At 45.9% G+C, this 13,264-nt stretch overlaps 1 protein-coding gene across 5 annotated transcripts in view, besides 5 other annotated features; it reads right to left on the minus strand.

The window, feature by feature from the left end:
• The window catches only part of GTF2E2 (general transcription factor IIE subunit 2), a 79,919-nt gene extending 77,189 nt beyond the window's left edge, over positions 1-2,730 (minus strand). For 3 of the 5 annotated variants that reach the window (NM_002095.6, XM_011544509.3, XM_011544510.2), the window contains exon 1: positions 2,467-2,730. The gene's annotated coding sequence lies outside the window, so the exon portion shown is untranslated. Of the gene's footprint in view, positions 1-2,068; positions 2,113-2,466 lie in introns of those variants that run through there. The other 2 variants (XM_017013364.2, NM_001348353.1) reach the window with 1 other exon arrangement.
• Positions 1,259-1,930: an enhancer, noted in NCBI's record as "H3K27ac hESC enhancer chr8:30514282-30514953 (GRCh37/hg19 assembly coordinates)". NCBI's record gives its function as "activates a minimal SCP1, AML or CMV promoter by ChIP-STARR-seq in naive H9 embryonic stem cells {active_cell/tissue: H9 hESC(naive)}" and the evidence as "EXISTENCE:reporter gene assay evidence [ECO:0000049][PMID:30033119]".
• Positions 2,315-2,404: a silencer, noted in NCBI's record as "silent region_19080". NCBI's record gives its function as "represses an Ori minimal core promoter by ATAC-STARR-seq in GM12878 lymphoblastoid cells {active_cell/tissue: GM12878}" and the evidence as "EXISTENCE:reporter gene assay evidence [ECO:0000049][PMID:35858748]".
• Positions 2,415-2,824: a silencer, noted in NCBI's record as "silent region_19081". NCBI's record gives its function as "represses an Ori minimal core promoter by ATAC-STARR-seq in GM12878 lymphoblastoid cells {active_cell/tissue: GM12878}" and the evidence as "EXISTENCE:reporter gene assay evidence [ECO:0000049][PMID:35858748]".
• Positions 2,415-3,273: a biological region, named in NCBI's record as "H3K27ac-H3K4me1 hESC enhancer GRCh37_chr8:30515625-30516296".
• Positions 2,602-3,273: an enhancer, noted in NCBI's record as "H3K27ac-H3K4me1 hESC enhancer chr8:30515625-30516296 (GRCh37/hg19 assembly coordinates)". NCBI's record gives its function as "activates a minimal SCP1, AML or CMV promoter by ChIP-STARR-seq in naive H9 embryonic stem cells {active_cell/tissue: H9 hESC(naive)}" and the evidence as "EXISTENCE:reporter gene assay evidence [ECO:0000049][PMID:30033119]".

A 13,264-nucleotide genomic window follows, 5' to 3' on the forward strand; every position in this document is an offset into this window, starting at 1 on the left:
AATAAATATTTGTTAAATGAACAACACATGGAACATCATCTTTAAATTGCTCTGGTCCCATTATTACTGGTTTCACAAGCCTTTATTAAATATCTTGTTTGTGAGGCACTGTGCTCTAAGCTTTGAAAGGTTACGGAAGATAAATCCTTGTCTACATGCTGCTTAGATTTGAGAAAATGGAAGCATTGAGCTAAAAATTTTAAATATAAGCATTGATAAGAAATAATCAGACTGAATTTCAATTAAGGCGTGAACAATCACTGGACGGTGAATCAAAAACCTGCCTTCTCTCAGTTTCAATTTTTTTTTCTTTTTTTTTGAGACAGAGTCTCGCTCTGCCGCCCAGGCTGGCAGAGTGCAGTGGTGCAATCTCGGCTCAATGCAACCTCCGCCTCCTGGGCTCAAGCGATTCTCCTGGCTCAGCCTCCCGAGTAGCTGGGACTACAGGCGCGCAGCACCACGCCCCGCCAATGTCTGTATTTTTAGTAGAGACGGGGTTCATTCACCATGTTGGCCAAGCTGATCTTGAACTCCTGACCTCAAGTGATCCGCCCACCTCAGCCTCCCAAAGTGCTTAGATTACAGGCGTGAGTCACCGCACCCGGCCTCAGTTTCAATTCCTAAAGCCACCTGGCTAGGCAACCCACAAGGCCTCTACATTCAATTTCATAAGTGAAATGAGGACGCTATGAAAGCTGTCCACATCCAGCCCAATTGTAAGAATGAGAAAATGTGTATGTTATTTTTTAAACAGTAAAGTCATAAAAACGTGTTATTTCAGTATTACTATTTTGAGTTGGATCTGAAAGAAGGGAATGATTTACCGGGCTGAGGAAAGTAGGAGACAGCCTTGGGAGGAGGGAAAGCGTGGGGCCAAGAAGAAGAAAGGAGAATTGTCAAGTGAGAAGGTGGGAGCAAAAAGTAAATTTCTAGAACAGGAAACATTTGTGTCTTATTTCACGTTGCAAAGGCAGGACCTCAATCTGGACTTTAAAAAAATTACTCTAAAAGATTTAAATAGGCCGGGCGCAGCGGCTCACGCCTGTAATCCCAGCACTTTGGGAGGCCGAGGAGGGCGGATCACGAGGTCAGGAGTTCTAGACGAGTCTGGCCAACATGGTGAAACTCCGTCTCCATTAAAAATTTAAAAAATGTGCAGGGTGTCGTTGCGGGTGCCTGTAATCCCAACTACTTGGGAGGCTGAGGCAGGAGAATCGCTTGAACCAGGGACGTGGAGCTTGCAGTAAGCCAAGATCGCGCCACTGCACTCCAGCCCGGGCGACAGTGCGAGACTCCGTCTCAGAAAAAAAAAAAAAAAAAAGTAAATAAAGCCGTACAGTTTACAACAAACTAAATGCTTACAGTATTTGACCCTCGCAACTCTAGGAGCAAACAGGTATTAGTGTTATTCCTATTTTAATACGTGAAATCTGAAGTGAAGCTGTCTGGTTAAGGTCGCACAGATGGAAGAGCCAGGGCCAGGAACCAAACCTCCTGACTCCTAACTCAAGTGCTCCTTACACCAGACCTGGAACGCTGGTAAAGGCCTTTAAAACAAAGGCCACCTGTGAGGTTCGGGAACGTTCAAAGGCATCTAGAGCAGAAAGCTTCGCAATGTCTGTCTTTCACCATCACGTGCTCCGCCTAACTTTTCCTCCTTTTTCAAAGACTACCCAATATGTGTACTAAGTTTTAGATCTCTGGACCCCCCTATGGAGTAAACAGGCTACATCACCATGTCCATTTTACAATTAAACAAAACCACAACTCAAGGAGTTGGCTGGTTCCTCCGTGGGCAGACACGGAAAACCCAAAAATTAAACTGAAATCTGCCTCCAAGCCCACGATTCTTGCCACCATTCGACCTCTTTCAACCTTACTACTTCCCCTCTCTTTCACTTTTACCCAGCCTCGTTAGTGTCCCTGGCACCTCAGGACCCGGCTATGAAAAGCAGGCTGCTTCGCCCTTAAATGACGGAAGTGGGGAGGTGGGCGAAAAGGGGGCCGCAGCGTTGTTTAGACTGCAGAAATCAACTACTATCGTTAAAGTTTAGGGATCATCACAAACCAAATCTCCAAAAGGTAGCCTAGAAAGCAGTCCGCGTATGAGCATCATTTTAAATCACAGTCTTGAGCTGGCTGGACCCCGCGGCTGCTCAAACTCCACACACGGTTCGCTTGGCTACCGCGCCCGTGAACTTGGAGGCTTGGAAGAGGCACAGTCAGGCGGCAGACCGCGAATTTTCCCTCTTTCCAACCCAAAAGTTTGCTCAATGAACCTCTGGCCTAAAGACAATGCTCCGGGGAACGGTTCGCGTGCTGGGTGTTTCGCTTCGAGAACGGCGGTCCCAGCTTCCCGTGAGGTGGAGGTCACGCTCAGCCTCCCGGGAGGCGGCGGCGCGCCTGCGTCCCAGGGAACAGCAAGCCGGGGCTCTGCGCCCCACACCCGGCGGCCGCAGCCCCTACCTGAGTGAGAAGGGCAGCCTCGCACGACTCGCCGCCCCCTTCCTGCGCCTCCGCCTCGGCCGGCCGCCCACGCCGGCACTGCACCCTCTTCCTGCTTCTCGTCAGCGCCCCCGCCTGCCCGCACGCACGCCCAGCGCTGACCCGCCAGGTCGGGGTCTCACCACTGGCGGTGGCGGCGGCGGCGGCGGCAGCGGCGGTAGCTGAGGCGGCGACTGGACCCGGGACTCCGCCCGCCACTTCCCGATCGGGTGCTAGGAGCTCAGTCCCGGCAGCCACCGCGGCGCCAGGGCAGCCAAGCGAGCGCATGCGTCATTGCGTGCCCCGCCTCTGGTGCCGCGGGAGCGGAACTATCCCGCTCTGGCGTCCTGGGGCCTCCATGACAACGAGGGAAGGGCTGGGGTGGGGCCGAGAAGGGGACTGAAGTGGGAGGCGGCGCCACTGAAGATGGAAGGCAGCTTTCTTTATAGACACTTTATTAAAACTGCTACAGCCTGCTCCGGCGTGCGCTGGGATGTGGTGAACCCAGCCGACGACGCTATCTTTCAATGGTTACTTTGTGTTTTTTGTCTTTTTCTTATTAGAGACGTGATCTCACTCGGTCACCCAGGCTGGAGGGCAGTGGCGCGATCTCGGCTCACTGCAACCTCCGCTCCTGGGCTCAAGCCATTCTCCCACCTCAGCCTCCGGAGTAGCTGGGATCACAGGCGAGTGCCACCACGACGGACTATTTTTGGTTATTATTGTTGTTGTTGTTTGTATTAATAGGGTCTCACAATGTTGCCCAGGCTGGTCTCGAACTCCTGAATTCAAGCGATTTGCCCGCCTCGTCTTCCCAAAGTGCTGGGATTACAGGCGTGAGCCACCGCGCCCGGCCTCAACGGTTATTTTGTGAGTTTACCCCAGCGCCACACACCAGCACCTGCACACCGAGAACGCGGTTCCAGCTCTTTTACAAGCGAAGAACAGAGGGCCAGGAAGCTAATTAATAAATGACTTGCTCAAGACAACACAGCTAGCAAAGGCAGCCTGATGTGGAGCACAGCCCAGCCTCTTCCCTCCACCCCTGTGAACTGTCTTAGAAAAGGATTTTGGATTTAGAAGCCAGATAAATGGGTGGAAATAAAGCAGTGGAAAAAATAATTTCATTGCCCGAAACCTGCAGCGTGGCAGGCCTTCCCTCACTCTTATAACCTAAAGCGGCAGTACAGCCAGTGCTCAGCCATTCTGTGGCTGTCGTTGAATTACTGGTTACTCTTCAAGTTACTGAAACTGTGGCTCAGTTTTCTCATCGGGGAAATGGGGATAATCATTGTACTACTACAATGAGTTACTTGCATTGGACTGTGGTGAAAATTAAGTGAGAAAATACCTAAAATTTTATTCAAAACTTGGAAAAAAGTCAAAAGATAATATTTTGTGACTTTTATTAGTTTCATTCTAGAGAATTTTGTAATAAGCCTACTTGATCATCTGACACCCACAGGAAATGTAACTTTGTTTGAATAACAATTGATTAGGGCCCAGAAGATTTACAAAAGGATGAAATCAAACATCAATTGGTAGGAAACTGATGAGGTGTTAGGGGAAAAAGGGGCAGGGAATTCAGTGTGTATATAGATAGATAGATAGATAGATAGATAGATAGATAGATAGATAGATAGATAAAATTCCAAAGGTTAAGGTTGCATTTTTCTGAGAAAAATTAACCGGTTTTGTATCAACTGAGCAGTTTTATTTCAGCATTCCTTTCCCCAACGATTATATAAATATCATTTTTCAGAACTGGTAGAAATCCGTTTTATGATTCTGCTGGCTCCCTTATTAATGAGTGAGAGACTTATACATATGGACAATGGCTAAACCGCATATGATAATAACACTCTAACTCACATAAGCCAAACCATAACCTCTACAGCAATCAGCTCAAAATGGTCAGAATTTTCTCAAGAAGGCTGCCAACTTTTCTATTTTAACCTCTCTGTCCTCAGACACCAGTATCAGCCAGAGAAAGCCAAATATTCTTCCCAAACCAATCCTGTTAAGTTTCCTGCTTCAAGTTAGACAACTTCCAGCTTCCCCTGCCAACATCCCTAAATCAGAACACATCAGAAGCATCCCTTTTTTCCTCCACTGTAAAGTCTCCCCTCTTCCCGATTGCTTTTGAGTCTCTGCCAAACTCAAGTGTGGTCGCTGCCCCTATTGCTATAGCAAGCTCTGAATAGTCTCTGTTCTCACTTGGCAGGTCTACATTTCTTGCGTTAAATAAAACTTTGACACATATTCACTATCTCTTCCCTTGAGACTTAGAAATCTAACAATTAGAGAATCTTTACAGAATTAAATCTTTCACAAAGAAGGTGCTCAATAAACGCTTACAGTGAGTAATTTCATGTCAATATCTTGACTCATTTCAGCCAGTTGAAACAGCTAAGCTACTAATAATATCAGAATGTACTATCTATAATCCAGACTCTCAAATCTCAATTGTGTCCCCTTTACCCAGAAGTTAGCTCTTGTTATTAATATCATTGAAACCCTCTCATACAAACCCCAGGAAACCTTATTACATTACAAACTCCTGCTTATACTGCCTGTTGCATGTGTCTAGGTCTTAACACTGAAAGCAATGGCTTCATTCATTCTGAGGCAGGAGAATAGGGTCTGGAAGCAGAGAACCTAAGGCCAATTCACGCTGACTCCCTAGAAAGAGCTAAATCAAAAGGAAAACCCTAATTTTCCACACCCAAGTAACAAAAGGACCAGAGGCTGCTCCCTTTGCAACCCCTCACCCCCATTTTTCTGCCTGGCAGATGAAAAATTGAAAGTACCTCTGGCCGGCCGTGGTGGCTCATGCCTGTAATCCCAGCACTTTGGGAGGCCGAGGCAGGCGGATCACTTGAGGTCAGGAGTTCAAGACCAGGCTGGCCAACATGGTGAAACTCCGTCTCTACTAAAAAATACAAAAATTAGTGTGTGGTGGCGGGCACCTGTAATCCCAGCTACTCAGGAGGGTGAGGCAGGAGAATCACTTGAACCGGGGAGTCAGAGGTTGCAGTGAGCCGAGATCGTGCCCCTACACTCCAGCCTGGGTGACAGAGCAAGACTCCATCTCAAAAAAGAAAGCAAAAAACCTCTAACAGAGAGCCAAACCCCATCACTGCACACACACACACACACTCTCTCTCTCTCTCTCACACACACACACACACACACACACACATATGTAGACTTTCCCCAGGTAGTTATTGGCCAGGATGGAGTCACATACCTCATCTAAACCAATCAATCCCCATGAAAGGGAAAGAAACTACCGTGACAACCTGAAACAAATTTTGATTCACCTTTCTGGAGATGGGGAGGGAGTAGCCTACCTCGAACACATGAGTGAGCAAAGAGTGAACTCACATCTTTAAAAAGTTGGGACCAAACTAGCTTCTTACCTTGCAGAAACAAATAAGAAGTCGTTCCATAATTCAAACTTTCTTTCAAGTTTTCTCTTTGATAACCGTCATATCTTAGCATGCAATACTAGGTGTTTATGATCAACTTCCATAATAATTATCATAATAAAGAAAATAATTTCTCATAACATTTATGTATTTCATGATTTTTGCTACATCAGTGTATTAGAGTTTTCCAGAGAAATAGCAAATAGGATATGTGTGTGTGCGTGTGTGTAGACAGAAGGAGAGAGAGACCGAGAGAGGAAAAAAAAGAAATAGAGACAGAGTTAGAGAGGGATGTATTTATTTATCATTTAAGACACAGTCTCACTCTGTCACCCAGACTGGAGTGCAATAGCACGTTCTCAGCTCTCTGCAACCTCCACCTCACAGGTTCAAGCAATTCTCCTGTCTCAGCCTCCTGAGTAGCTGGAATTACAGGTGCGCACTACCACACCTGGCTAATTTTTGTATTTTTAGTAGAGACGGGGTTTCACCATGTTGGCCAGGCTGGTCTTGAACTCCTGACCTCAAGTGATCTGCCTGCCTTGGCCTCCCAAAGTGCTGCAATTACAGGCGTGAGCCACTGCGCCCAGCCAGAGAGGGATTTCTCATGTCATTATGGAGGCTGACAAGTCCCAAGATGTGCAGCCAACTTGGAGGCACAGATGACTGAAGATGTCCTTCCAGTTCAAAGCCATGCAGGCTCAAAACAGGAAGAGCCACTGTTTCAGTTCTAGTTCAAAGGCAGAAAATAAACTGCTATCCTAGCTCTAGACAGTCATGCAGGAGGAGCATTCCTCTTATTCACGGGAGGGTCGGCTTTTCTGTCCCATTCAGGCATTCAACTGATTGGATGGGGCCTTGCCACATTAGGGAGGGGAATCTGCTTGATACATCTGCCAGTTTAAATGTTCATTTTGGCCAGTTGCAGTAGCTCACACCTGTAATCTCAGCACTTTGGGAGGCTGAGGCGGGTGGATCACCTGAGGTCAGGAGTTTGAGATCAGCCTGGTCAACATGGTGAAACCCCATCTCTACTAATAATGCAAAAATTAGCTGGCTGTGGTGGCGGGTACCTATACTCCCAGCTGCTCGGGTGGCTGAGGCAGGAGAATCACTTGAACCCAGGAGGCAGAGGTTGCAGTGAGCCGAGATTGCACCACTGCACTCCAGCCTGGGTGACAGAGTGAAACTGAGTCTCAAAAAATAAATTAAATAAATAAATGTTCATTTCATCCAGAAACACCCGCACAGACACACCAAGAATACTGCTTGACCAACTGTCTGGGAACCCTGTGGCTCAGTCAAGTTGACAAGTAAACTTAACCATGGCAACTTGGCACCCAGACACATCTCCTTAAACCATACTTAATAACCAAATAAAGACAATAACACGGTCATAATTCCACCTACCATGATACCACTATCCTGCATACAAACAAAAACACACTAACCCCTTTCCCAGAAGAGAAGGTAAAGTCCTTGCGTCATGTTTTCTCTTTGATATGCCATAACTTTTTTTTACTTGTATAAATTTGAGGGGTACGGCCGGGCGCGGTGGCTCATGCCTGTAGTCCCAGCACTTTGGGGAGGCTGAGGTGGGCGGATGACAAGGTCAGGAGATCGAGACCATCCTGGCTAACACGGTGAAACCCCGTCTCTACTAAAAATACAAGAAATTAGCCAGGTGTGGTGGCGGGCACCTGTAGTCCCAGCTACTCAGGAGGCTAAGGCAGGAGAATGGCGTGAACCCCGGAGGCGGAGCTTGCAGTGAGCCGAGATCGCGCCACTGCACTCCATCCTGGGCGACAGAGCAAGACTCCGTCTCAAAAAAAAAAAGTAAGGGGTACAAATACAGTTTTGTCACATGGATATTTTGCATAGCGGGGAAGTCTGGGCTTTTGGGTAAGCATCACCCAAACAGTGTACATTGCACCTATTAGGCAATCTCTCATCCCTCATTGCCCTCCCACCCTCCCACCCATTCAAGTTTCAATGCCTGTTCTTTCACACTCTACACACTCCATGTCCATGTGGACACATTATTTAGATCCCATTTATAGATAAGAACACATGGCATTTGACTTTCTGGGTTGTTTCACTTAAGATAATAGCCTTCGGTTCCATCCATGTTGCTGCAAAAGACATGATTTCATTTTTTTTATGGCTGAATAGTATTCTAATACACACACACACATTTTCTTTCTTCTTCTTTTTTTTTTTTTTTTTTTTGAGACGGAGTCTTGCTCCATCACCAGGCTGCAGTGCAGTGGCGTGATCTCGGCTCGCTGCAATCTCCGCCTCTCAGGTTCAAGTGGTTCCTCTGCCTCAGCCTCCCCAATAGCCAGGACTACAAGTGTGCACCACCATGCCCGGCTAATTTTTTGTATTTTAGTAGAGATGGGGTTTCACCATGTTGGCCAGGATTGCCTCGATCTCCCGACCTTGTGATCTGTCCACCTCGGCCTCCCAAAGGGTTGGGATTACAGGCATGAGCCACCACTCGTAGCCTACCACATTTTCTTTATCCAGTCACCCACTGATGGATACTTAGGTTGATTCCATATCCTTGTTTTTGTGTATAGTGCGGTGATAAACATAATGAGTGTAAGTATCTTTTCGATGTAATGCTTTGTTTTTCTTTTGGGAAACCTCATAACTTTTTAAACAATTCTTAAATACTACAATATCAAGTCAATACATCTTAGGTTATATGATACAGGAAAAAGAGAGGGAAGAAAACAAAGATAATTTATACACACACACACACACAATCATGGCAATTACAGTCCTCATTTCTATAACTGGTCACATGGCTCTTTACCTAGGGGAATGACGTCCTTGATGGTGGCACTAATCTCTGCAGTCCCTCCAGGGATGTGGTATCGCTTTTCATTTTCTATTTTTCTAGGTAGAGGCAGTTCTTGTGGCTTCCACTTGGCCTTTGCCACCATAATAGCCCTCACTCCACAGGCCAGGGAAGCACTGGAGATTCTGCCAGCTGCTGAGCATGTCTATTCTGATTACGCATTCCTGAGCTGCAGAAATAACCACAGGATGGGTTCAGGGATCCACTGAGCCCACTATGAGATGGATCAATGCTAAAACTGCATGGATTGGCTGGGTGCGGTGGCTCACGCCTGTAATCCCAGCACTTTGGGAGGCCGAGGCAGATGGATCACCTGAGGTCGGGAGTTTGAGACCAGCCTGGCCAATATGGTGAAACCCTGTCTCCACTAAAAATACAAAAATTAGCTGGGTGTGGTGGCACGTACCACTTGGTCCCTGCCACCCTCAGATTCAACTACTGCCACTGCATTTAGGTTTTCCAATTCAGTGATAGCAGTTCCCTCTCTAATTTCTGACCTACTAAGAACGACAACCACTGAACACTTCAGGAATGCTGGGGCTCCCTTCACAAATTTATTTCTCACAGTCATGGTGAAGGGTATGTCCTCTGGGTACTCCTGGGGTGGGTGAGCAAATCTTACATGACAAATCCACTCTTTCAGTTAGAACAAATATATGGGATACATGTGAAATTTTGTTAAATGTATATAATGTGTACTGATCCACTCAGGATATTTAGGGCGTCCATCAATTGAGAACAATACATTTTTGTTATACTATAGTCGCCCTACTCTGCTGTCAAACATTGAATTTATTCCTTCTATCTAAATGCATGTTTGTATTCTTTAACCCATCTCTCTTTATCCTTCCTCCTCCTCCACCCTCACCCTTCCCAGTCTCTGTTTTCTCTGTCCACTCTCTACCTCCATGTGATCAAATTTTTTAGCTCTCTTATATAAGTGGGAACATATGGTACTTGTCTTTTTGTCCCTGGTTTATTTTACTTACAATAATGAACACCAGTTACATCTATGTTGTTGCAAATGACAGAATTTCATTCTTTTTTATGGTTGCATAGTATTCCATTGTATGTATATGCCACATTTTCTTTATCCATTCATCTGTTGAAGGACACTTAGGTAGAGTCCATCTTTTTGCTGTTGAGAATAATACTCCTTAAGGCTTTAGATCTTTTTGTCTAGAGTATACCAAGGCAATACTGGCATTTTTTTTTTTTTCCGAGACAGAGTCTTGCTCTGTCACCAGGCTGGAGTGTAGTGGTATGATCTCAGCTCACTGCAACCTCTGCCCACTGGGTTCAAGCGATTCCCCTGCCTCAGCCTCCTGAGTAGCTGGGCCTACAGACGCACACCACCAAGCCCAGCTAATTTTTTCTATTTTAGTAGAGACAGGGCTTCACCATGTTGGCCAGGATGGGCTTGATCTCCTGACCTCATGATCCACCCGCGTCGGCCTCCCAAGTACCTGGGATTATAGGTGCATGCCACCATGCCCAGCTAATTTTTGTATTTTTAGTAGAGACAGGGTTTTGCCATGTTGACCAGGCTGGTCTTGAACTCCTGACCTCAGGTGATCCCCCCAGCCTCGGCCTCCCAAACTGCTGGGATTATAGGTATGAGCCACCATACCTGGCCTTCTTCCATGTTTTAGCCAAACAAACTAACTTTTAGAGCCCTTTCTAACCTCCTAAGCTGTAACATTAAATTGGTGGATCACTTGAGGTCAAGAGTTCGAGATCAGACTGGGCAACACAGTGAAACCCCTTCTCTACTAAAAATACAAAAATTAGTTGGGCATGGTGGCAGGCACCTGTAATCCCAGCTACTTGGGAGGCTGAGGCAGGAGAATTCCTTGAACCTTGGAGCTACAGGTTGCAGTGAGCCAAGACTGCACCACTGCACTCTAACCTGGGTGACAGAGCAAGACTCTATCTCAAACAAAAAACAAACCATTAAACTGACAGTCTCTGTTTAGTGGGCTCATGTCAGTAAATTTGGCTTGATCCAACTTTATTTTTCTGTCACCATTATCCCATGGTCTTAATATCCATTCCCACACATTTCGCCCTGGATTTCTGCATGTGTAAATTGGAAAAACTATGTACTCCTTTTGGAATGCAGCTTACTTACCTCTTCAAGGGTCATGTTTTGTACTTCACCTTTTGTGGCCAGTGGGGACTTGAGTCTAGTCATAGGTTTAGAAGCAAAGAAAGGTGATGAGGGTGTGTCCTGAGTAGACTCAGCAGAGTCTTGCAAGTTAACTAACTCAGGAGAGGACATTATAATATCCTCAGGCAAAGCAGGATTCATCTCTTCAGATGGGATGGAATAGCTGCTTCTACTGGCAGAAGACTCAGCAGAATTTACGGGTTCAGTGTCCACACCCTCATCAGGATCTTCCCATATATCCCCATTCCAATTTTCAGTATCTCATTCTTTTATTTCCCAATCAATGCCCTCACTTTGACAGCAGATGCCCTGAGAGGTTGGGAATTTGATCTGCATTGTAATTCAGCCACTTGCTGGATAAGACTCTGGGTGTGCTTTTCAGCAATCTCAGCTCTGAAGCTACAAGGATTTTAAATGTTGCCTTAATCATGTCCTATATTACAATTATATATTTCTGGACTCTATTCTGATCAACCAGTGTGATTTTAGCCATATATTGCGGACTTTCTTGAAGAGGGATACACATATACGATGGCGATACATTTTTATTTCCAATGGATGACCACAAGATGGCGTTAGGTGACTAAAATGATCTGCTTACCAAACATTAAAGCCGAAAATTAAGCATATAGATTAAGCAATTGCCATATACACAAGAAGGAATACCTTTTAATGTAATATCTTAAAATTAATACATTTTAAAGCCTGATATATTTTTAAAAGAAATTTGGCACATAAAAAAACAAAGTGCTTGATTAAAATGTACACTCAGCTGGGCGCAGTGGCTCACGCCTGTAATCCCAGCACTTTGGGAGGCCAAGGCGGGCAGATCACCTGAGGTCAGGAGTCTGAGACCAGCCTGGCCAACATGGTGAAACCCTGTCTCTACTAAAAATACAAAAAATTAGCCAGGTGCAGTGGTGCATGCCTGTAATTCCAGCTACTCAGGAGGCTGAGTCAGGAGAGTTGCTTGAACCTGGGAGGCAGAGGTTGCAGTGAGCCAAGATCGCACCATTGCATTCCAGCCTGGGTGACACAGCAAGACTCTGTCTCAAAAATAAAAATTAAAAATAAAGAACAAAATGTGCACTCAAACAAAGAGTCTCCCATCTTGTTATCGAGGGACAATTCAGAATCAATGCCAAATATTGTTTTAATGTGAAATATCCCTGCTTTAAATTAAGGGTGGTGCTTTTGTGCTCCTGCCCTAGGCAATGAGACCTACCATGTTGTATTAGCTATGCCTTTTGTTTTCTGTATTCCGATGCTTTGACATTTGGGAGCCTTGCTAATCCTGGAGGGTTGCCTGTCCCAGTGCCAGTGCTAGCAAATTTCTAGAGACAGTAAATAACTAGGGGAGTATGCCCTTTATATGCCAACCAGTCCAGGGCCTACAACCTCAACCACCTTCTTTATTGGGCCCATACTATCCATCCGCCTGCCCTAATCACTCCAGGGCCAGCCCTTATCCCCCAGAGCCCACAGAAAATTATTCAAATAAACCAATGCTAAACTTGCTTATCCAGCCTTGCCTCTTTCTTTCTATGGAAACCAGAGTAAATTATCTTGCCCACATTTTCCTTCCACTCTCTTTGCCTCCTGACCAACCCCTGTGCTTCCTGGGTGTCTCTCCCCATCCCCCCTGGGGTGATGTACCCCTTCATAGGATCTGTGAGCATAACAACTATATTTTCTTTCCTTTCTTTTTTGAGATAGGGTCTGCCTCTTCACCTAGGCTAGGGTGTAGTAGTACGATCCTGGCTTACTGCAGCCTCCACATCCTGGCCTCAAGGAATCCTCCCACCTCAGCCTTCGGAGTAGCTGGGACTACAGGTACTCGCCACTACAACTGGCTAAGTTTTGTATTTTTGGGGGAGAGACACGATCTCACCATGTTGCCCAGGCTGGTCTTGAACTCCTGGACCCAAGTTATCCTCCAACCTCAGCCTCCCAAAGTGCTGAAATTACAGGTGTGAGCCCCCGTGCCCAGCCACGACTATATTTTCAATGGCAGTTGTCTCCTCATCTAATGACCTTGCCATACTAAATAATAATAAAACCTATATTTTTAAAACAAGTGTCAGACATTGCTGGTTACCTTCTCAACCATTCCCCTACTTTCTTGCTGAAGGCTTTGTTCAGGGTAGTAGTGGATTCAGCTTAAATGCTTACCTTGCCAGGTTCCTTGCAGCTAGGTTGTCTGTGTGACAGACACATGGTTTCCACATAAGCAGAAATCTCCTGGCAATTTTTGGATAAGTTTTTGTTTCCTGATTTAGATACCACTTCTTTCTCCTTTTTCACCCTTTCTGG

Source organism: Homo sapiens, chromosome 8, assembly GCF_000001405.40.
Source record: "Homo sapiens chromosome 8, GRCh38.p14 Primary Assembly".
NCBI classification, from domain to species: domain Eukaryota; kingdom Metazoa; phylum Chordata; class Mammalia; order Primates; family Hominidae; genus Homo; species Homo sapiens.